Raw genomic sequence first — 23,154 nt, forward strand, 5'->3', positions numbered from 1 at the left:
GACAACCCCACAACCAGTGGCATACCTAAGTAAGGAAATTGATATAGTAGCAAAAGGCTGGCCTCACTGTTTATGGGTAGTTGTGATGGTGGCCATCTCAGTGTCAGAGGCTATCAAAATAATACAAGGAAAGGATCTCATTGTCTGGACTACTCATGATGTAAATGGCATACTAGGTGCCAAAGGAAGTTTATGGCTATTAGACAACTGCCTGCTCAGATACCAGGCACTACTTCTTGAGGGACCGGTGCTTCAAATACGCATATGTGTGGCCCTCAATCCCGCCACTTTTCTCCCAGAGGATGGAGAACCAATCAAGCATGACTGCCAACAAATTATAGTCCAGAGTTATGCTACCCAAGAGGATCGCTTAGAAGTCCCCTTAGCTAATCCTGACCTTAACCTATATACTGATGGAAGTTCATTTGTGGAGAATGGGATACGAAGAGCAGGTTATGCCATAGTTAGTGATGTAACAATACTTGAAAGTAAGCCTCTTCCCCCAGGGACCAGCACCAAGTTAGCAGAACTACTGGCACTTACCTGAGCCTTAGAAAGGGAAAAAGAATAAATGTGTATACAGATAGCAATTATGCTTATCTAATCCTACATGCCCATGCTGCAATATGGAAAGAAAGGGAGTTCCTAACCTCCGGGGGAACCCCCACTAAATACCACAAGGAAATCATGGAGTTGTTGCATGCAGTGCAAAAACCCAAGGAGGTGGCAGTCTTACACTGCTGAAGCCATCAAAAAGGGGAAGGAGAGGGGAGAACAGCAGCATAGCAGCATATGCGGCTGGCAGAAGCAGGGAAAGACCAGCAGAGAGAAGGAAAGAAAGAGAGAAAGACAGAAAGTCGAAGAGAGAGAGAGAAAGAGACAGAGACAAAAAAGGAGTCAAAGAGAGAAAGAGACAGAAAGTCAAAGAGAAAGAAAGAGAGAAAGGGAGAGAAGTAGTAAAGAAAAAACAGTGTACCCTATTCCTTTAAAAGCCAGAGTAAATTTAAAACCTATAATTGATAATTGAAGGTCTTCTCCATGACCCTGTAACACTCCAACACCACCTGGTTGTCAGTGTAAACAAGGGCATAGCCCGAAAGCACTGAGGCCACTGACAACCCATAGCCTTCCTATCAAAAATCCTTAACCCAGCAGGTTTCCTAACAGGGGATCTAAATCTTAATTACCATACAAAGGTCCAACCAGATCTAGGAGGAACTCCCTTCAGGACAGGACTATAGCTGGTTCCTCCCCAGCGATTAAGGGAGAAAGACACAATGAGTATTCAGTAAGTGATAAGGAAACTCTTGTAGAAGCAGAGTTAGGAAAATTGCCTAATAATTGGTCTGTTCAAACGTGCTCCAGCTATCAGTACTCAGCCAAACCTTAAAGTACTCACAGAATCAGGAAGAAGCCATCTATACCAATTGTAAGTTAATATGGATTGAACAAGGTCTTATTAATACAAAGAATAATTGAAATCCCAAACTTACAAGGTTTTCAACAAAAGTAAAGTTTGCTAAAAGTTAACAGTGTAACATATATTATCCTACTACCACACACTCTCAAAGGATTTCTCAGACAGTTTGCAAGAAATAACAAAATCTATCCTTATTCTACAATTCCAAATAGACTCTTTGGCAGCAGTGACCCTCCAAAACCACCGAGGCCTAGACCTCCTCACTGCTGAGAAAGGAGGACTTTGCACCTTCTTAGGGGAAGAGTGTTGCTTTTACACTAACCAGTCAGGGATAGGATGAGGTGCCGCCTGGTGTTTACAGGAAAAGGCTTCTGAAATCAGACAACGCCTTTCAAACTCTTATATCAACCTCTGGAGTTGGGCGATATGGCATTTCCCCTTTCTAGGTCCTGTGATGGCCATCTTGCTATTATTCACCTTCGGGCCCTGTATTTTTAACCTCCTTGTCAAATTTGTTTCCTCTAGGATTGAGGCCATCAAGCTACAGATGGTCTTACAAATGGAACCCCAATGAGCTCAACTAACAACTTCTACTGAGGACCCCTGCACCAACCCGCTGGCCCTTTGACTGGCATAAAGAGTTCCCCTCTGGAGGACACTACAACTGCAGGGCTCCTTCTTCAACCCATCCAGCAGGAAGTAGCTACAGAGGTCATTGCCCAATTCCCAACAGCTCTTGGGGTGTCCTCTTTAGAGGGGGGATTGAGAGGTGAAGCCAGCTAGACTTCCTGGGTTGAGTAGGGACTTGGAGAACTTTTCTGTCTAGCTAGAGGATTGTAAATGCACCAATCAGTGCTCTGTGTCTAGCTGAAGGACTGTAAATGCACCAATCAGCACTCTGTAAAAACACACCAATCAGTGCTCTGTGTCTAGCTAGAAGATTGTAAATGCACCAATCAGCACTCTGTAAAAATGCACCAATCAACACTCTGTGTCTAGCTAAAGGATTGTAAATGCACCAATCAGCATTCTTTACAATGGACCAATCAGCGCTCTGTAAAATGGACCAAGCAGCAGGATGAGGGCAGTGACAAATAAATAAATAAAAGCTGGCCACCCGAGCCAGCAGCAGCAACCCAGTCAGGTCCCCTTCCACGCTACGGAAGCTTTGTTCTTTCGCTCTTCACAATAAATCTTGCTGCTGCTCACTCTGGGTCTGTGCCACCTTGAAGAGCTGTAACACTCACCACAAAGGTCCGCGGCTTCATTCTTGAAGTCAGTGAGGCCAAGAACCCACCGGAAGGAACCAACTCCGGACACATGACCACTGAGAACTGTCTTCTCAAGGACCTGGGGGTTTGTCTCTTGAATTGCAAGCCTTCAAGGAGGTGGTTCTCATTCTCATTCCCAGTCCCTGTGGCTACCTTGCTCTCTTACACCACTGCTTGTCATGAAGACAGAAAAATTATGTCTCCTCTGGATAAGCATGGATTAACACACCCAGATGGCCTAGTTGCAGGACGAACCAACCCTTCACACTCCTCAGCACCTTTCCCTTAGCACACCACAGCCTCTAAAAAGCCTCCAAATTTTTGTTTCAGCAAAGTTGTGTTCAGTTCATGCTGGACCCAATTCCCTAGCAATAGTTTTCATTAAATAAAATCTAATTTACTGCTTTAACGAGTGTCCCACTTAAAAAATTTTTCTTGACAGTAAGCACATGAAATCGTTATTGAATTAATAAACTTAGGTTCTATATATGTGTAAACAGCTGAGCAGAGTTTCATTATTTTGAGCGTTCTTTTGGTATCTCCTCTCCCAACCTCCAAGAAGCTGAAATATGGCTTAAGTTATATTTTCCTTCAAAATCTCTAACTATGAAAGATGACAATTATGTCCAAGTTATCCACAGTACCTCCTGGATTGAAGTAAGTCAGCTTACTGTGGATATAGAAAGCTATCTAAAATGTCAGATCTCTAATTTCAATGCCCTGGTTTCTTTTTTTTTCTTTTTTTTTTTTTTAAGGAGACAGGGTCTCGCTGCACAGTGAGTGGCAAGATCAGGGTTAATTTGGCCTCAAGCAATATTCCCGCCTCAGCCTCCTGAGTAGCTGGCAATATAGGTGCTATGCCACCAAGCCCGGCTAATTTTTGTATTTTTAGTAGAGACGGGGTTTCACCATGTTGGCCAGGTTGGTCTCAACCTTCTGGGCTCAAGCTATCCTCCCGCTCTGCCTCACAAAGTGCTGGGATTGCAGGCCTGCGCCATGGCGTCTGGTTTGATTTCTCTTTTAAATATTTTTTTTGGCCAGGCGTGGTGGTTCATGCCTATAATCCCAGCAGTTTGGGAGGCCAAGGCGGGCAGATCACGAGGTCAGGAGATTGAGACCATCCTGGCCAACCCGGTGAAACCTCGTCTTTACTAAAAATACAAAAAATTAGCCAGGCGTGGTGGCGGACGCCTGTAGTCCCAGCTACTCGGAGGCTGAGGCAGGAGAATCGCTTGAACCCGGGAGGCGGAGATTGCAATGAGCCCAGACTGCACCGCTGCACTCCAGCCTGGGCGACACAGCAGACTTGTCTCAAAACAAAAAACAAAACCAACCAAAAAAACAAAAAACAAATGCAAAACAAAAAACAACAAAAATAAAACGAAATATTTTTTTCTCCCTATGGATTAAACACTTAAAAAATGTTTTACCACTTCTATTTCTGGGTCAACCACAATGTTCGGTTCCATCCAGAAAGACAAGTGGGTTTTGGAGAGGGTGTTTGGTTCCGCCTAGCATGCGAATTCCCATTCCCGCACAACGCTCTTCCTCCCTTCCTCCTTCCGGTAGCGTCCAGCAGGATTCCGCTGTTCCTCCAAAATCTTTGTCAGGAGAGCCATCCTGACGGTACCTTTAGGAAGCCCATAGATACCCGCCACAACCTGTGACTTTCAGGGTCAATTGCGTCTCAATTCGCACGTCTATCCAGAACCTGCGGGGACCACGTCCCCATCCTCCCGCCCGGCCTCCGCCTCCGAGGGTGTCACGTGCTAGACGCGGGCGTGAAGACAGTGTCGCCATGTTGATATCTGGCGTCGCCGTGTAGGGGAAGGGAGAGGGCGGCTGACTAGCTACCCGTAATTTCGGCTCCTGTGCGCAAGTGCGGAAGTGCGCTGGCCAGGAGCGTGATCGGTTTCCGGTCAGTGGTGTGGTACCGGGTACCCGGAGACGTGTATCGGACGGTGGGCCGCAGCCATGGCCGAGAGAAAACCTAACGGTGGCAGCGGCGGCGCCTCCACTTCCTCATCGGGCACTAACTTACTTTTCTCCTCCTCGGCCACGGAGTTCAGCTTCAATGTGCCCTTCATCCCAGTCACCCAGGCCTCCGCTTCTCCGGCCTCCCTGCTCTTACCGGGAGGTAATAAGGGGAGGGCGGCCCCGTGTGTGGTGGGAGGCGGGCGGGGGACGTGCAATGACAAAGGTCAGACGGGAGTTTTTCCTTCTGCCTCGAGCTACCCTCTGGATAGCTTGCCAGGATCATTACTGGCCAGGTTTGAGTGGGTCGGGGGCTTTGGGATCTTGGAGGTGGCAGGTGATGAGACTTGCTCTTCACGGAAACCCCCTGTTCCGAGTTGTCCAGAGTGCTGGACATTCATTCGTACCCTGGCATTCCGCAAATCTTTGCTGAATACCCGTTGTTGGTACGCCAGGTGCTGGCAGGAAATGCAAATAAATTAAACAGTGGCCCTCTCCTAGGGTACAGTAGTCTGTCTCCCACTAGGAGACTCCTAGGATACGGTAAGATACCTCCTAGGATGGACTGTGCCCCTCTCCTAGGATACGGTACACTGTCTCCTACTAGGAGATTGTTGTGATACAGTACAATATCTTCTAGGTTACAGTAAGATATCTTATAAGATGGACTGTGCCCCTCTTCTAGAAGCCTGTAATATTTGTGAAGTAGACATATACAATGCATTCCTTATCTTTTTTTTTTTTTTTTTTTTTTTGAGACGGAGTCTTGCTCTGTCGCCCAGGCTGGAATGCAGTGGCGCGATCTCGGCTCACTGCAGCCTCCACCTTCCAGGTTCAAGTGATTCTCCTGCCTCAGCCTCCCGAGTAGCTGGGACTACAGGCGTCTGCCACCATGCCTGGCTAATTTTTGTATTTGTAGTAGAGACAGGGTTCCACCATGTTGGCCAGGATGGTCTCAATCTCCTGACCTCAAGTGATCCGCCTGCCCTGGCCTCCCAAAGTGCTGGGATTACAGGTTTAACCCCCCACCCATTCCTCATCTTTCAAGACAATACATCACTTCTTCCAAGAAGCTGTTTCTTGTTCTCTTAGGCCCCCACTCCTATGTGCACTCCTAGCTCTTTTTTCATATTTGTATTATTGTCCAGGGAGATTGCTTTTTGATGATTATGTAGCATTGCCCAGAGCATAGTGTTTAAGAGCACAGACTGTCTGTATTCCAGTCCTTGCCCTGCCAGTAACTTGCTGTGTGACTGTAGGCATTTTACTTTACCTCTCTGTGCTTCAGTTTCTATGTATGTGTAGCCTCACAGAATTGTAATTAGAAATGCTTTAATTTTTGCAAAGCGCTAAGTATAGTGCGTGCCAGACAGTGTGATTTAATGTTTGTGAAATAAACACACCTGCCTCTCCATTTGGACTGCAGTCTTCTTCAGCAGCTATGACCTAATTGCCTTTTTATCTCCAGGATCTTATTTAGGGCCTAGTACATAGATCCTCTTTGGATGCTGAGTTTCCAGTGAATAATTTATTCTTGTTTGAAGGATGAAAGACAGTTTCATGGAGAAGCGAAGACAGGCACACTGGGAACAGCTGTACATGAAGGTTCCCCTGCCCATGTGTTATGTTTCTTCTTGATGCTTGTCACTACCTGACATGTACACATATTTGTTTATTCCACTGCACTAGGATGTAAGACCATGAAAGCAAAAACTTACTTTTATTCACGATTATATTCCCACTGCCTAGAATGGTGTGTGGTATTTAGTAGACCAATTATTCAGTAGATGTTTGTTGAATGAGTGAAAGGATGGGAGTCAAAATGATGTCTCATTTTGACCTGTGGTTGAAAGGTTAGGTGTTGCTGTCTTTGGTGAAGAACCAGCATGGTTGGAGCAGAATGCTGTGGGAGGATGCAGGAATAAATAGGGCTATACTTGGGGTTTTCTAATTATCCTCTGCACCATTAAAGTTGTTTGGTTATGTCCGTCTTCCTTGCTATGTAGTGTTTGGTTTGTGTGTGTCACTGTGAATTCATGCTAAACGTTTTCATTGTTAAGTCTGGTATAGCTACACCTGTCTTTAATGCTTTTGTTTCTTGGAGACAGTCTGTGTGTGTGTGTGTGTGTGTGTGTGTGTGTGTGTGTGTGTGTGAATATTAATAATTTTAGAACTAAAATTCATCTCTAAAAATCTCAGAAACCCATTCAGAGAATTTCCAGAGACAAAAGAAGAACCTGTCTCCCTGGAAGCAACAGTTAATCATATAAGTGGAAGAGAGACACAGGAAGCAATTTCATACATTCAGCAGACATGGAAGGCCTGGCACAGTGGCTCACGCCTGTAATCCCAGCACTTTGTGGGGCTGAGGCGGGTGGATCACCTGAGGTCAGGAGTTCAAGACCAACCTGGCCAACATGGTGAAACCCCATCTCAACTAAAAACACAAAAGTTAGTTGGATGTGGTGGTGGGCGCCTGTAATCCCAGCTACTCGGGAGGCTGAGGCATGAGAATCGCTTGAGGAGGAGGTTGCAGTGAGCTGAGGTCATGTCACTGCACACTCCACCCTGGGCGACAGAGTGAGACTCCATCTCAAAAACAAAAACCAGACATGGATTGAGCAGTTTCTATTTGCCAGGCACTGTTCCAGAACCTGGGAGACACAGAAGAGCAGACAGCCCTGCCCTCAATGACTGCACAGTATGTGTGTATACACACACACCCACCTGTGTAAGCAACTGTGATACAGGTTTAGAACAGTTAGAAAGAGGGATTGATAGATGGCTATGAATGCTACGGGTATCAGGCTGGCTGAGCCGGGGAATGGATGTCCCTTAGGCCTTCAGGGCCTCTTAGGGGAGGTGATGCTTGAGCTGAGTGTTGAAGGATACATAGAAGTGAGGGAAACTGGAGAGACAGGCATATGTGAAGTCTGAAGGTGTGAAAAAATCTTCAGATTTGGCAGGAGTTAGTGGTTGGTGGAATGGGACAGGGATGGAGCTCATCCCTCTCTCCTGTCCCTTCACCTTTGTCTCCTCTCCCCTGTGTCCTCTGCCCCCAGTAGATCACTTTGACTAGAGTGTGTGCAGTGGAGTGGCCTCAGTGATCTATGGGCCACATATGCCATACTCAGGAGGAGTTTGTAGTTCATCTTGTGGGGTGTTGGGGAGCCTTTGAAGGATTTTCAACAAGGCAGTGAAATTAGACGTGTGTTTCAGAAAGACTGGAGTTTTCTCTAGTCGCACTGGAATAAGGTTGACTGTAGCAAGAGGATTCAGTTGGGAGGCATAGTGAGAGGCTGGCAGTGGCTATGGCAGTCTAGCCTGAGTCAGCCACATTGGGTGTGAGGAGCAGGGAGCAGATGTGCGAGATGTGTGGACTATACAGTTGTAGAGACTCACAGAAGACCAGAGTGTCAGCTCTGTCTGTCAGAACAGAGGCCCATTTTTGTTTAGTTTTAGACCCAAGACTGAGCTCTGTACCTGGCACAGAATGCATCCTGAGTAAATATTTCTTGAATAAATATTTGAATGATTAAATGAAGGGTTTGAGAGAGAGGGAGGAGTCTCAGACTTGAGGTTTCTGGTTTGAATGTCTGAATGAATGTTGGCAAACATCTGTGGAGATTGTGAAATACAGAAAAGGGAGCATGGAGGTGGGTAGTTAAGATAAACTCCGTTTTAGGCTTACTAAGCATGAGGTATATGTGACTGAATCTGCCAAAAACATTGAGGAAGTAGTTGGAAAACAAGTTCTGGAACACACGAGAATGGTCTGGGCTTACGATGGAGTTGGGAGTGTCACAAATATACAAGTGCCTGTTAAAGTTGTGGCTTTAGATGACATGTGTCCAAATGAAATGAGAAAGTGCCCCTGAGGTGAGGGTAGCAGTATATGGAGAGCACTTCATTTGTAGTTGATGCTAATCAGAAAAAAAGTTTCTCGGACCAGGTTGACCTCAAGTTTTTCTAAAGGATGAAAGATACCACTGAGTTTTTTTTTTTTTCATTCTTTTAATTGTTGGGAATGAACTAAGAAATACAAATAAGTCCAAGTGAGGGTCACTGACCTGAAAAGAGGGGTGGGAGCTGGAAATATATCAGAGAAGTGGAATGATTCAAGTAGACACAAGGCCTTGTGCAGCAAGGGATATTTTATTTTTAGTTACAAAGAAACTACCAAAAGGAGTATTTTGAATGGTGGAGTATTTTAGTTAAACTGATGTGTGTAAATAATGAGAGCTCAAGAAGCTCAAGCCCTAGTCTCAGCAGAGGTCAAGAAGCTTGGAGCCCGGAGCTTGGAATAAGGCTGCCTGTTGGCAGGTCTCCAAGGGCAGGGACCGAAGTGTGCCTGTGTGCTGTGAGTGAGTCCAGCCCTCTGATGGATTCCATGCCTCCAGCAAGGAGGTAAGAGGGAATGAGGCAGGAGCAGGGAAGATTAGGAGGAGGAATATGAAAGCTACAAGCTAGGGAACATAAAAGTTTCGTAAGGAATAATAGTAACGTGGACTTTTGAGGTGATATACAGGGAAGATGCTTTTATTTTACAACTTGGTAGTAGAACAGAAGCTAAATTATTTGGAGTCGTTAATACCCACAGTGAACATCAAGTTGGGCAAAGGGATGGGAGATCTTCCCTTGGTTAGAAAGTGACCTTCTCAGCAATTTGGTATTCTGTAATGATAAGTCTGTGATAGTGCATGATTTTAGGGAATGGCAATTAATGGTTGACCTACTTGGGAATACAAATACCACGTGTTCATTTGTACAATAAGTGCTTTGTAGGTGAGATTCCTGACACACCCCTTCTTGTCAACAGAGTTATCTTTAGTCTCTTGTTATCACTATAGAAATAAAAATATATGTATTTGGGTAGTCGAGTAACAGTTGAATTATTTCTTACCAAGAAAAAAAGATAAAAAATAATATGTAAGGCTGGGCACGGGGGCTCATGCCCGTAATCCCAGCACTTTGGGAGGCCAAGGCAGGCAGATCACTTGAGGTCAGGAGTTCAAGACCAGCCTGGTCAACATGGTGAAACTTCATCTCTACTAAAAAAAAAAAATACAAAAATTAGCTGGGTGTGGTGGTGGGTGCCTGTAATCCCAGCTACTCGGGAGGCTGAGGCAGGAGAATGGCGTGAACCTGGGAGGCGGAGCTTGCAGTGAGCTGAGATTGCGCCACTGCACTCCAGCCTGGGCGACAGAGCGAGACGCCGTCTCAAAAAAAAATAAAAAAAAAAAAATAAATAAAAATAGTAAGTATAGATTTTGTTTCTATTTTTAAAAACATATACAAATATATATTTACAAAATAAATAACTATTTGTATTTATTTTAGAAGTATGGAAGGGTATGTAGCAAAATGTTAACAGTGTTAACAGCGTGATTGTCTCTGGCAGGTGGGCTTATGAATGAATTATAATTGTTTCCTCTTATGTTTTCTTATTCATGTTTTCTAGTTTTTCATTTCTAAGAAGCAAGTTTTCAAAGAAAAAAAGAAAAAACTGTTTTTTTCTGTAATGCAGAAATAGCAAGTTTGAAGAACAAATAAGGAAGTATAATTGCTAGCCCTTCCTTATAGAATCGTATCTGCGGAGTGATAGAGTACCCTTTAAACCACATGCTCTCCTGTTCCATTTCAGAGGATTCCACAGATGTTGGTGAGGAGGACAGCTTCCTTGGTCAGACTTCTATTCACACATCTGCCCCACAGACATTTAGTTACTTCTCTCAGGTATCAAGCAGCAGTGATCCTTTTGGGAATATTGGACAGTCACCATTAACAACTGCAGCAACCTCAGTTGGACAATCAGGATTCCCCAAGCCCCTGACTGCTCTCCCTTTTACAACTGGATCCCAAGATGTCTCGAATGCATTTTCACCATCCATTTCGAAGGCTCAACCTGGTGCTCCACCTTCCTCACTGATGGGAATAAATTCTTATCTGCCTTCTCAGCCAAGTAGTCTCCCTCCTTCATATTTTGGGAACCAACCCCAAGGAATTCCCCAACCAGGATACAATCCATATCGCCATACCCCTGGCAGCAGCAGGGCTAATCCTTACATTGCACCACCCCAGCTGCAGCAGTGCCAAACACCAGGCCCTCCTGCTCATCCTCCACCTTCTGGACCCCCTGTTCAGATGTACCAGATGCCTCCAGGATCTTTGCCACCGGTATGGAGACATGATTTTGTGTCCTACTTATTCACTCTGTGTCTTCTTTCTCACCTGAACCTATGTTTTAAAAAACATTTCACATCTTATAATCAATATGGTGACAAATTAGTTTCAGAGGGTATTCTTTGTAAGCTACATGAAGTAAACATTGTCTTAAAGATAGCTTATTGGATGGCTCATATTTTAGTGTATATTACCTGTTTATTGAAGCAGTAACTGATTTTAATGAGTTAGCTACGTGTCAGTATTTCCAGATTTTAGAGTACGGTAAAAATAAGTGTTGTCTAGAGACATAGGAGAATTGAAGCGGTTATTGTCTTAACAGACTGCTAGTTTCTCATCTTTCAATTACACTAGTCAATCAAAACACTCAATTACAGGGACTAAAATTGATTACTTCAGTAATTTCTTTATGGAGTTTGGATCTAGATCAGTCAAACTCTATCTAGGGAGAGTTGGTGGAATAACGTATGCATTGGGTAAATTTCATGAAATTCCCTTATGCATTTTTCCCAACTAATTGTTTATTTGATTTCCAAAGAAAAATCAACAGAATTAAACAAAAAGAGAAATGATTAAAAAGAATTAAGAACCCATTTCAGTGTGGTGGAGATAGCAGTATTGTGATCAGAATGTAACTAACTTCTCTGTTAGAGATAGAGAATGGACTCTGTTTTATCATTTCATTTAAATCATACCAATACACAAATTTTTGACAATGTTGGATTTCGGCATTCTGAAAAGTAACCAGATTCATAGCATGTGGTATATAGTTAGTATTTTTGCTAACTATAACAAACTAATTGTAGTTTGTTGCTTAAATTTTTAAAAAGGTTTTTAGATAAAAGTTTAAAAAATGATAATTTCAAACTTGAAGAAAAGTTGCAAAAATAAAAAGAGTACAAAGAGCACTCTAATATCCTTTACTCAGGTTTACTTATCATTAACATTTCATCCCGTTTGTTTTTTAATTTGTGCATGTGCACACCCTGGCATATGTGAGCCCTCCCTCTTCCCCCATCCCTTTCTCCTGCCCCTTCCTCCTGCTTCTCCTCCTGCCCCTCCCTCTTCCCTCCCTTCCCCTCATCGTTTTTTTCTCTTTCTGTATATATGCAATTTTGGGGGGAATATTTGAAGGTCAGTAAAATACATTATGATTCTTTACTCCTAAATTCCTGGTGTACATTTGCTAAGCATAAGGACATTCTTCTTATGTGCACAGTGCAGCTATGAATCTCAGGAAATTGAGTGTTGATGTAATACTTCAAAATGATTTTTTAGAAATTATATATGTGTATGTATATGTACGTGTGTGTGTATGTGTGTGTGTGTGTGTATATATATATATATAAAATTTTTTTTTTTGAGGCCAGGTCTTGCTCTGTCACTCAGGCTAGAGTGCAGTGGCATGGTAACGGCTCACTGTAGCCTCGAATTCTCAGGTTCAAGTGATCCCCCTACCTCAGCCTCACCAGTAGCTGGGACCACAGGCACATGCTGCCATACCTGGCTAATTTTTTTTTTATGTTTTGTAGAAATGAGGTCTCACTATGTTGCCCAGGCTGGTCACAAACTCCTGGGCTCAAGCAGTCCTCCTGCCTTGACCTCCCAAAGTTCTGGGATTATGGGCTAAATTATATATTTTTTTGAGACTGGGTCTCACTCTGTTGTCCAGGTTGGAATGCAGTGGCGCAATCACAGCTCACCTGCAGTCTCAAACTCCTGGGCCTCAAGTGATCTTCCTGCCTCAGCCTACCAAAGTGCTGGGATTACAGGTGTGAGCCACCACACCTGTCCCAAAATGGTGTCTAATTAAAAAATTTTAAAATAAGTCTAGTCTGATTTTAAAATCGTTTTTGTAGAAAATTTGAAAAATGCAGAATACTCAATTTAATAAAAAATGTCCATAGATAACCACTGTTTTCATTTTGTTATATGTCTTTTTTTGGCAAACATATAATACCTATGGTTTCTATAATCTATTTTTTTTTTGTGTGAACATACTTTAAATGTTACTAAGATTTTTTCTAAAACATTAAAATTTTTTTCTTTTTCTTCTTCTTTTTTTTTTTTTTAAAGAGTGGGGGGGGGGTCTTGCTCTGTCATCCAGGGTGGAGTGCAGTGGTGTGATTACAGCTCACTGCAACCTTGAACTACACTTCAGCCTCAGGAGTAGCTGGGACTACAAGTGTGCCCCACCATGTCCGTGTGATTTTTAGATTTTTTTGTAGAAACGGTATTGCTGTGTTGCTCATGTTGGGCTCAAACTCCTGGCCTCAAATGATCCTCCTTCCTTGGCCTCCCAAAGTTCTGGGATTATAGGTGTGAACCATCGTGTCTATCCTCTAAAACTTTTATTTTTGTTTATTTACTTATTTTTTTTTTTAGCTATCTCCTGCAGAAAGGATATAAGACATTTTTAATGGCGCTGGAGGATCTAGCATTTGAGTTAAATATTATTTAATCAGGTTTCTGTTAGACATTTTGATTATTTCCAGTGATTTCCTATTTTATTTATTTTTTTGCAAACATTCCAAATTTATTAGCTATGATTTTATAATCAACATTATTGAGGTATAATTTACATACAGTAAAAGGCATCCATTTACAGTATACAATTCGATTTATTTAAAGTGTACAATTAGCTGAGTTTTGACAGTTGTACACACCAATTTCCTATTTTAAATAACCTTTTGATGTATATCCTTGGGGATAACTTTTTATTTTTATTTTTTATTTATTGTTTGAGACAGAGTCTCTGTCACTCAGGCTGGAGTGCAGTGGTGCAGTCTCAGCTCACTGCAACCTCCGCCTCCCGGGTTCAAGCGATTCTCCTGCCTCAGCCTCCCAAGTAGCTGGGATTGCAGGCCTGTGCCACCACGCCCAGCTAATTTTTGTATTTTTAGTGGAGACAGGGTTTCACCATGTTGGCCCGGCTTGTCTCGAACTCCTGACCTTAGGTGATCCACCCACCTCAGCCTCCCAAAGTGGCAGGATTACAGGTGTGAGCCACTGCACCTGGGCTATTTGTTTTTATAATTCTATCTTTAGGATAAATTTTTAGAAATGGAATGAGTAGGTCAAGGAGTAGGCACATTTTAAAGGTTAAATAGGCCGGGTGTGGTGGCTCACACCTGTAATCCCAACACTTTGAGAGGTCAAGGCGGGCTGGTCACTTGAGGTTGGGAGTTCGCAACCAGCCTGACCAACCTGGAGAAACCCTGTCTCTACTAAAAATACAAAATTAGCTGAGTGTGGTGGCGCATGCCTGTAATCCCAGCTACTTGGGAGGCTGAGGCAGGAGAATCGCTTGAACTCGGGAGACGGAGGCTGTGCATTGCGCCGTTGCACTCCAGGCTGGGCAAGAAGAGCAAACTCCGCCTCACACACACAAAAAAGGTTAAATAAATCATGGGAGATGTATTGCTAGATTGATTTCTGTAAAGGTGTTAGTTTACTTTGTGTTCTGTGAGAAGGTCTGGTTCACCTTGTAATTGATTTTTTTCTAAATTTTTTAATTTTTAATTTTTGTGGGTACATAGTAGGTATATATGTTTATGGGTTACATGAGATATTTTGATACAGGCATGCAATGTGTAATCATCACATCAGGATAAATGGGGTATAGATATCCCTCACCTCAAGCATTTATCCTTGATTTGGGGTTTTGTTAGGTTTAAAAATTCTTCTTAAAATTGCTTTGGGGTCTAGTTATTACACTAAGTAATTGTCCAGATATACATGTAGGATAATCTACTAACATCAGTTTGGGTGTGAAGCATATTCAGAATTCTTTTGGACAAGCATGACAGTCTTAACTTTGCCGTCCCCTCCAGGTTCCTTCTTCAGTGCAGTCACCGGCACAGCAGCAGGTACCTGCCAGACCTGGGGCTCCCTCTGTTCAAGTGCCATCTCCTTTTCTACTTCAAAACCAATATGAGCCTGTTCAGCCCCACTGGTTTTACTGCAAGGAGGTAGAATACAAACAACTGTGGATGCCTTTTAGTGTGTTCGACTCTTTGAATCTTGAAGAAATCTATAATTCAGGTAAACATTGGTCATACATCATTCATATCTGATTTTAGGAAGAGAAGGAATGAGATCATTTATTCATGATCTATTTTCTGTGAATGTCAAATACCTTAATCCTTATAGACCCCAGACTCTGTACCTTAAGGTGACGATATTAGTATAAGTCCTGAGTTACCTGGGTAAGGTATTTGAAGAAATGTTTTAGTAATTTACTTCGTAGTTTAAAGGTATTTTGAATCAGAGAAGTTGAGCAGTTCATATAATCCAGGTTTCAATTTTTCTGTTTCCCTTGTTCATTTGTAGTTATGGGGGCATTTATAAAGGGCATTCTGTGGAACTCTCTATCCTGGAGATGCTCTGTGAAAAAAGGGTTCCCTGGTCAGATGAGTTTTGGAAATGCTGCTCTCTGTATCTAGGTCTTGAGAGAGATGGTGTGCAGGAGTACATTAATGCTTTGAGAAGTCCTGCAGTGTAGAAATGTGTTTCTTTGTTTATCCTGATATATTATTATATCACTGTATTATTGTATGTAGATATTATTGTTCTGATAAAAAAAATCCATCAGTTCTTTGAATTATGTTTTTAAAGTTTGCCCTAGCTGTTTCTTTTCTACTTAAGAGTCATAATTTTGAGCAGCACAGATTAATCTTAAACTTCTATTTTGAAATAAAAATGAGCCTAGTTTTTTGTCTTTAAAGATTGAGTAGTCACCGTATTCATTATTTATTATTTCATTTTTATTTTCTTGAGACAGAGTCTCACTCTGCTGCCCAGGCTGGAGAGCAGTAGCGCAATCTGGACTCACTGCAACCTCTGCTTCTTGGGTTCAAACTACTATGCCTCAGCCTCCCAAGTAGCTGGGATTATAGGCGTGTGCCACCACGCCTGGCTAATTGTTGTATTTTTAGTAGACAGGGAGGTTTCACCATTGGCCAGGCTGGTCTCAAACTCCTGACCGCAAGTGATCCACCTCTCTCGGCCTCCCAGGGTGCTGGGATTACAGGCATGAGCCACTGCGCCCAGCAGATTATTTATTATTTTACAATATGCCTTGCAGCAGTTAGGAAAAGTGTTAATTTTGTTCTCTAGTTCAGCCAGATCCGGAGAGCGTGGTTCTTGGCACGGATGGAGGGCGCTACGATGTTTACCTCTATGACCGAATAAGGAAGGCTGCCTACTGGGAAGAGGAGCCAGCCGAAGTGAGACGCTGTACTTGGTTTTACAAGGGGGACACAGATAGTCGATTTATTCCCTATACTGAGGAGTTCAGTGAAAAACTAGAGGTACGGGTGCTTTATTTCTTTATGAGTTTCTTTAAAAAATGTAGGTCCTATATACATTGGTGAGTAACATCATTCACAGTGGAGCGGACTTTACTTACAAGACAGCTTGTTTTGATGCTGTTCACAGAGAAGATTACTTTTTAAGTGGTGTCATCACTCATGAGGTGCTAATCGTGGCATCTGTGTCTAAAGATAGAATATGATTTGCAGAGACACATCACAGATCTAATAAGGTGCTTGTGTCAAGCCTTCAATAGAACCTAGGCCGCTGGGATTTGTTGTTGATAGAAGATGCCAAGCATATGGACATTTTCAAATTAGTATTCAGTAAAAGGCTTGAAATTAACCTCTGATTTGTGAAAATAAATAAATAGAATTGGAAGAAGTGTCTTGAGTCTTATTAGCCATCTTAAATCTATAATTTCTTCAAGAAATTATATGTTGTTTTATATAATTGTGTTAAATGCTTGTGTTAATTCTACTTAAGAGTTGAATGTTAGATATTTGAAATACGTTCAGTGAATTCAGTTGCATAGATAGGAAATGAGATACAGAACATTTTAGTTAACTTCTGGCTGGGTGTGGTGGCTCGTGCCTATAATCCCAGCACTATGGGAGGCCTAGGTGAGCAGATCACTTGAGGCCAGGAGTTTTGAGACCAGCCTGACCAACATGGCGAAACCATGTCTCTACTAAAAATACAAAAACTAGCCAGGCGTGGTGGCACACGCTAGTAGTCCGAGCTACTCGGGAGGCTGAAGAGGAAGGATCACCTGTGCCAGGGAAGTTGAGGCTGCAGGGAGCTGAGATCATGCCACTGCACTCCAGCCTGGGCAATGGGAATGAGACCCTTCCTCAGAAAAAAAAAAAGTATATATTTGTATATGTGCATATATGTGTGTGTGTATATATATAAAGAAAAAAGTGTAAAGGAATGCTGATATCTATAGCTTAATTTTAGATATAAATAAACAAATAAAGATATATTGTAATTTTTGGTACCTTTTTGGTAGGCCCCTACGAAGCTATCATGTCCCCAGATTAAATGTTTAGTTTTACTATTTTGAAGCTGAAGTATATATTTTCAAGTCCAAGCAGTGTCTGAAAGTCTACACTTTCTCTTAACTATATTTGATTTTATATGGGTGACATAGACTTTGAAGCGGGATAGATATCCACATACTGACCACTGCAGCAACACATGGCTACCTAGGGAGACCTTAGCTTTTGTTCGGCTTCTTCCAGGAAACTCAAACCAGATCAGGGAAGAGGCAGAGGAGGTTAGGAAGTGAGAAAGCCGATAATAGAAAGGGAACAAAATGATACGTATTGCTCAGCATCCTGTTGGTGATCCTCTTCTGTCAGAGCACTAAGACAAAACAACGGAAGGGTTGGAGACAGAGAACACCTTTAATTTGATGAAGACATGATTATTGTCTACGTGGAAAATCAGGAGAACCTCTAGAAATATTAGCACCAATACAAGAGTTTTTTTGCAAGTCCGTGTATATAAAATTAACATACGTAAATTAGTAACATTCCTGTGCCATAGAAATAACCAATTAAAAATAGAAAAAGAAGATACTATGTATTTATAACAGAGAGACTATATATTTATAAAACTACAGGCAATGTAGGAAAAAAGCCCAAGAAAAGTACCGGTAAACTTTATGGAACACTGAAGAACGTAAAAGGTGACCTCAAGAAATGGAGCTAGGCTGGGCGTGGTGGCTCCTGCCTGTAATCCCAGCACTCTGGGAGGCCAAGGTGGGTGGGTTGCTTCAGCTCAGGAGTTCCAGACCAGCCTGGACAACATGGAAAAACCCCGTCTCTACAAAAAATACACACAAAAAAATTAGCTGGGCATGGTGGCCCATGCCTGTGGTCTTAGCTACTCAGGAGGCAGAGGCAGTAGGATTGCTTGAGCCTGGGATCTTGAGGCTGCAGTGAACTGTGATCGTGTCACAGCACTTTAGCCTGGGCAACAGAGCAAGACCTTGTCTCAGAAAAAAAAAAAAAAAAAAGAAACGGAGCTAAACATTATGTTCATGTAGGCACTATCATAAAAGATGTCAATTCTTCCCAAATTATCAGATAAATTTTAGGCAATCCCAATCAAAATTCACATCAGGGTTTTTTTTTTTTTTTGGTAAAATTTGCAAGCTGCTTCTAAATTTTTTGTGGAAGATCAAAATGTCAAGGATAACCAAGACCATTTCGACAATGAAATGTGAAATCTTTACCAGATAATACTTACTATAAAGCTGTGGATTGAAAGGGAATATGAAGAAGTGAAAATAATTTATTTATTTATTTTTTAAACAGGATCTCACTGTCCCCCAGGGTGGAGTGCAGTGGCGTGATTTCAGCTCACTGTAACCTCAGCCTCCTGGGTTCAAGCGATTCTCCTGCCTCAGCCTTCCGAGTTGCTGGGATTACAGGCGCCTGTCACCATGCCCAGCTAATTTTTGTATTTTTAGTAGAGACAGGGTTTCACCATGTTGGCCAGGATGGTCTCGAATTCCTGACCTCAGGTGGTCCACCCACCTCGGCCTCCCAGAGTGCTAGGATTACATGCGTGAGCCACCACACGTGGCCTGAAAATAATTTTTAAGGTGGTGAAAGTTTTCTTTCTTTAATCCTTGTTGTTTGTGGCCTTGCTTTTAGAAATTATGAATTATATTTGAAGTTTTTTTTTTTTTTAAATCGAAGAGGAGGGTCAGAAGTACAAAAGACTAGGCTGGGCATGGTGACTCACGCCTGTAATCCCAGCACTTTGGAGGCCGAGGCGGGCTGATTGCTTGAGATTAGGATTTCGAGACCAGTCTGGCCAACGTGGTAAAACCCTGTCTCTACTAAAAATACAAAATTAGCCAGGTATGGTTATGCACGCCTGTAATCCCAGCTACTCAGGAGGCTGAGGCAGGAGTATCTCTTGAACCTGGGAGGCGGAGGTTGCGGTGAGCTGAGATCACGCCATTGCACTCCAACCTGGGTGACAGAGTGAGACTCCATCTCAAAAAAAAAAAGTACGGAAGACTGATGAAGAGGAATTGTTACTGTTACTCAATGATTGTCCAAGAAACAGAAGGAAATACTTCTATTTTCACGTGATTGTCAAATACTCACTGTTACTAGTTTTAAAAAAAAGACTTTGTAACAATTTTTACTTGTCAATTAAAAAAATAAATGAACAAAAAAAAGGACTTGTGGATATGCCAGAGGCTCCCTCTTACTTTGTGTTGAATCTCTCCCCAAGAGGTCCTCACGCTTGTTCTTTATAGAAACTAGAATAGTACGATCGGCCCTCCGTATCCACAGGTTCCGTATCTGCAGATTCAACCAAATACTCTGAAAATATTTAGAAAACCACAACAATAAAAATAACACAGGCTGGGCACCGTAGCTCACGCCTGTAATCCCAGCACTTTGGGAGGCTGAGGTGGACGGATCATCTGAGGTCAGGAGTTCGAGACCAGCGTGGCCAATATGGTGATACCTTGTCTCTACTAAAAATAGAAAAATTAGCCAGATGTAGTGGCTCATTGCCTGTAGTGCCAGTTACTCGGGAGGCTGAGGCAGGAGAATCGCCTGAACCTGGGAGGCGGAGGTTGCGGTGAGCAGAGATTGCACCACTGTACTCCAGACTGGGCAACAGAGCAAGACTCTGTCTCAAGAAAATAAAAAATAAAAATTACAGTTTAACTATTGATATCACATCTACATTTCATGAGGTATTATAAGTAATCTAGAGAAGATTTAAAGTATAAGGGAGGATGTATGTAGGTTTTATGCAAAAATAATGCTATTTTATATAAAGGACTTGAACACCAGGGATTTTGGTATCTTTGAGGGGTCTTGGATCCAGTGCCCTGCAGAAACCAAAGAAAGACTATATCTGGAGGAAGAGTAAGAAGATGGTTGGACAGTGAAGATTTTGGAGTCAGAAAGTCCTGGGTGATATTACTCCAGCCCACATGAAAAAAAAGAAAAAGTCAGTCCTGGGTGGCAATGAACTACAGTTCTCCCATTGCTGCTTCCCAGTTGTGTCATCTTGTGCAACTGTATACAGTACTTAAAATGTCTATTATGGGTTGAATTGTGTCTCCCCATCCCCCAAATATGTTGAATTACTAATCCCCAGTGTCTCAGAATGTGACCTTATTTGGAAATAGGGTCATTGCAGATGTAATTAGTTAAGGTGAGGTTTTACTGGAATAGGATGGGCCCCAAAGCCAATATAACTTGTGATGTGAAGACAGACACACAGAAAGAATCCCATATGATGATGGAGGCAAAGGCTGGAGTTACACTGCAAGCCAAGGAAAGCCAGAGATTGCCAGCCACCACCAGAAGCTAGGAAGAGGGAAGGAGGATTTCTTTATAGCTTTCAGAGGAACGGTGGCCTGCCTTCCTGGCACCTAATTTTCTACTTGGAGCCTCCAGAACTATGGGATGATACATTTTTTTTCTAAGTCACTCTGTTTGTGATACTTTGTTAATGCAGCCCTAGGAAATGAACAGACCATCTAAAACTTGGTTTTCTTCATTATATAATGGGGATCCTGTTACTTAGGCGTGATTGAGAGTAATTACTTCAATGGTATGTGTAAGGTGATAAAAAATATGTTAACCAGTCAGGAAATGAGAACTGCTATTACTGTTATTTTTATCACCATTATAGTGACCGTTTTCCTCCATACTTTCTCTCCATGTGGTATAAATTTGTCATGTTGGAATATATGTTGTTTCCCCCATTATAGGCTGAATATAAAAAAGCTGTAACCACTAATCAGTGGCACCGAAGATTAGAGTTTCCAAGTGGAGAGACAATTGTTATGCACAATCCAAAGGTAATGATGGTGTTCAAAATTTTAAGGTATTAAGTTCATTTTAATATTTTTCTGTGTATGTTTGATAAATTGTTCATTTTTAGTAACTTCTACAGTGGGAATGTTTTTGTAACAAGTGCATTGCTTTTAAAATACTTTATTATTATAGTGGATAATACAGATATTATTTCTATGATTCACACTGATCATAGAAACAAAAACACAAATTTTTCGTAGGGCGAGGTGCACACCTGTGAGAGGCTGAGACAGGTGGAATGCTTGAGCCAGGGGGACAGCAGAACCCTGTCTCTATAAAAAATAGAAAAATTAGCTGGGTGTAGTGGCACATGCCTGTAGTCCCAGCTACTCAAGAGGCTGAGGTGGGAGGATTACTTGAGCCCGAGAGGTTGAGGCTGCAGTGAGTCAGGATTGCTCCCCGCTGCACTCTAGTAGCCTGGGTGACAGAGCAAGACCTCGTCTCAAAATAAAAAGTAAATTTTTCTCAGGCTGGGTGTGGTGGCTCACACCTGTAATCCCAGCGCTTTGGGAAGCCAAAGTGGGAAGATTGCTTTAGGCTAGGAGTTTGAGACCAGCCTGGGAAACAAAGAGACTCTGTCTCTACAAAAATTAAAAAAATTAGCTGAGCATAGTGGTGTGCACCTGTCTAGCTACTCGGGAGGCTGAGATAGAGGATCACTTGAGCCCAAGAGTTTGAGATTGTAGTGAGCTGTGATCACGCTCACTCCAGCCTGGGTGACACAGCAAGACTCTGTCTAAATAAATAAATAAAATAAGTATTTCTTATGAAGTTTCTGTTTATGGCAACATGATAACTGGAGTTTAGTATGCAATGTAGAAGTTGCTTGATAATTTTTTTCACTTGATCAGAAGTTGGCAAGCTTTTTCTATAAAGGGCCAGAGACAAAATATTTAAGGCTTTGCAAGTTACATGTTCCCTGTTGAAGCCACCAGCTCTGCCACCGTGGTGTGAAAGCAGCCAGAGACAATGTGTAAACCAATGGGTATGATATTTTCAATGAATCTTTATTTATAAAAACAGATGGCCAGATTTTTCTGTGGGCTGTAGTATGCCTGTCTGCCCTTGATGTGGTTTGCTCTAACCTTTCAAGTAAAAATGTGTCCTTTTTCTTTTTATTTTTATCGTCTCTATGAGTTTATCTTGTTTTTAAAAAAATATTGATTGCTGGTATTCTGATTCTATCATTTGCCAACCTTAATTTCTCAGAGCTCCAAGTTCCTCACCTGCAATAATGATCTCCCAGGGTCATATTTTAGATGAAGTAAGGTAATTTATGCAAAAGCATCTAGCATGGGGCTTAGCACACAGTAGTTTCTGAGAACATAGGCTTTTTATTTATTCATTTGTTTTTATAGAAAAGTATATAAAAAACTTATAATCCAACTACTTCTATAGTCCTTATTGATACTGAAATAAAAATAACATTCATATGCCAACAAAATGTAAACAGTTTAAAAGGATATTAAATGAAAAATAAAAGCCTCCTATCTCTGCCTTCCTCATTTCTCCTCTCCATAGTAACCACTCTTAATCTTTTTGTTTGTTTTTTTAAGAAATAAGGTCTCACTCCCTTACCCAGGCTGTAGTGCAGTGGCCAATCACAACTCGCTGCATCCTCGAACTCTGGGCTCAAGGGATCCTCCTGCCTCAGCCTCCCGAGTAGCTAGGACTACAGGTGTGCGCCACCTTGCCTGGCCAGTTTTAAGACTTTTTTTTGCAGAGATGGGGTCTTGCTATCTTGCCCAGGCTGGTCTTGAACTCTTGGGCTCAAGTCTTCCTCCTGCCTCGGCCTCCCAAAGTGCTGAGATTACAGGTGTGAGCCAACACGCTTGGCTAACCTTTTTTTTTTTTAGATAAACATTTTGCATACTACATCAAGTATATATTCTTTTTTTTTTTTTTAAAGAAAATTTTCTTTGTGGTACAGGGCTGAATTTAATACAGTTGGTTTAACAGAATGGATTTCCTAAAAAGTGGTAGGGTTTTGTCATTATGTTTTTGTCACTGAAATTGAAATTGTAGTTTAATTGGGAATCTTACTATTTTGAAAGGATTTTGCTTTACTTGTTTTTATAAGACAAAGACTCTTCAATTGCAGGTTACTTGTCCTTGATTTCTTTTT

General features: G+C 42.0%; 1 protein-coding gene across 6 annotated transcripts in view, besides 4 other annotated features; it reads left to right on the top strand.

Moving 5' to 3' along the window:
* Positions 989 to 1,527: an enhancer, noted in NCBI's record as "NANOG hESC enhancer chr10:121648618-121649156 (GRCh37/hg19 assembly coordinates)". NCBI's record gives its function as "activates a minimal SCP1, AML or CMV promoter by ChIP-STARR-seq in naive H9 embryonic stem cells {active_cell/tissue: H9 hESC(naive)}" and the evidence as "EXISTENCE:reporter gene assay evidence [ECO:0000049][PMID:30033119]".
* Positions 3,328 to 3,839: an enhancer, noted in NCBI's record as "H3K27ac-H3K4me1 hESC enhancer chr10:121650957-121651468 (GRCh37/hg19 assembly coordinates)". NCBI's record gives its function as "activates a minimal SCP1, AML or CMV promoter by ChIP-STARR-seq in primed H9 embryonic stem cells {active_cell/tissue: H9 hESC(primed)}" and the evidence as "EXISTENCE:reporter gene assay evidence [ECO:0000049][PMID:30033119]".
* Positions 3,840 to 4,350: an enhancer, noted in NCBI's record as "H3K27ac-H3K4me1 hESC enhancer chr10:121651469-121651979 (GRCh37/hg19 assembly coordinates)". NCBI's record gives its function as "activates a minimal SCP1, AML or CMV promoter by ChIP-STARR-seq in primed H9 embryonic stem cells {active_cell/tissue: H9 hESC(primed)}" and the evidence as "EXISTENCE:reporter gene assay evidence [ECO:0000049][PMID:30033119]".
* Positions 4,351 to 4,861: an enhancer, noted in NCBI's record as "H3K27ac hESC enhancer chr10:121651980-121652490 (GRCh37/hg19 assembly coordinates)". NCBI's record gives its function as "activates a minimal SCP1, AML or CMV promoter by ChIP-STARR-seq in primed H9 embryonic stem cells {active_cell/tissue: H9 hESC(primed)}" and the evidence as "EXISTENCE:reporter gene assay evidence [ECO:0000049][PMID:30033119]".
* The window catches only part of SEC23IP (SEC23 interacting protein), a 51,928-nt gene continuing 33,386 nt past the window's right edge, over positions 4,613 to 23,154 (top strand). For 5 of the 6 annotated variants that reach the window (XR_246061.3, XR_007061940.1, NM_007190.4 and 2 more), the window contains exons 1-5: positions 4,613 to 4,828; positions 10,310 to 10,842; positions 14,682 to 14,892; positions 15,967 to 16,160; positions 20,924 to 21,013. Coding sequence is in view for 3 of the 6 variants with exons in the window: in NM_007190.4 (NP_009121.1) it covers positions 4,666 to 4,828; positions 10,310 to 10,842; positions 14,682 to 14,892; positions 15,967 to 16,160; positions 20,924 to 21,013 (1,191 nt within the window). In the remaining 3 variants the exon portion in view is untranslated. The remainder of the gene's footprint in view (positions 4,829 to 10,309; positions 10,843 to 14,681; positions 14,893 to 15,966; positions 16,161 to 20,923; positions 21,014 to 23,154) is intronic. The other variant, NR_037771.2, reaches the window with a different exon arrangement.

This window comes from Homo sapiens, chromosome 10 (genome assembly GCF_000001405.40).
Source record: "Homo sapiens chromosome 10, GRCh38.p14 Primary Assembly".
In the NCBI taxonomy this organism is placed as follows: Eukaryota; Metazoa; Chordata; class Mammalia; order Primates; family Hominidae; genus Homo; species Homo sapiens.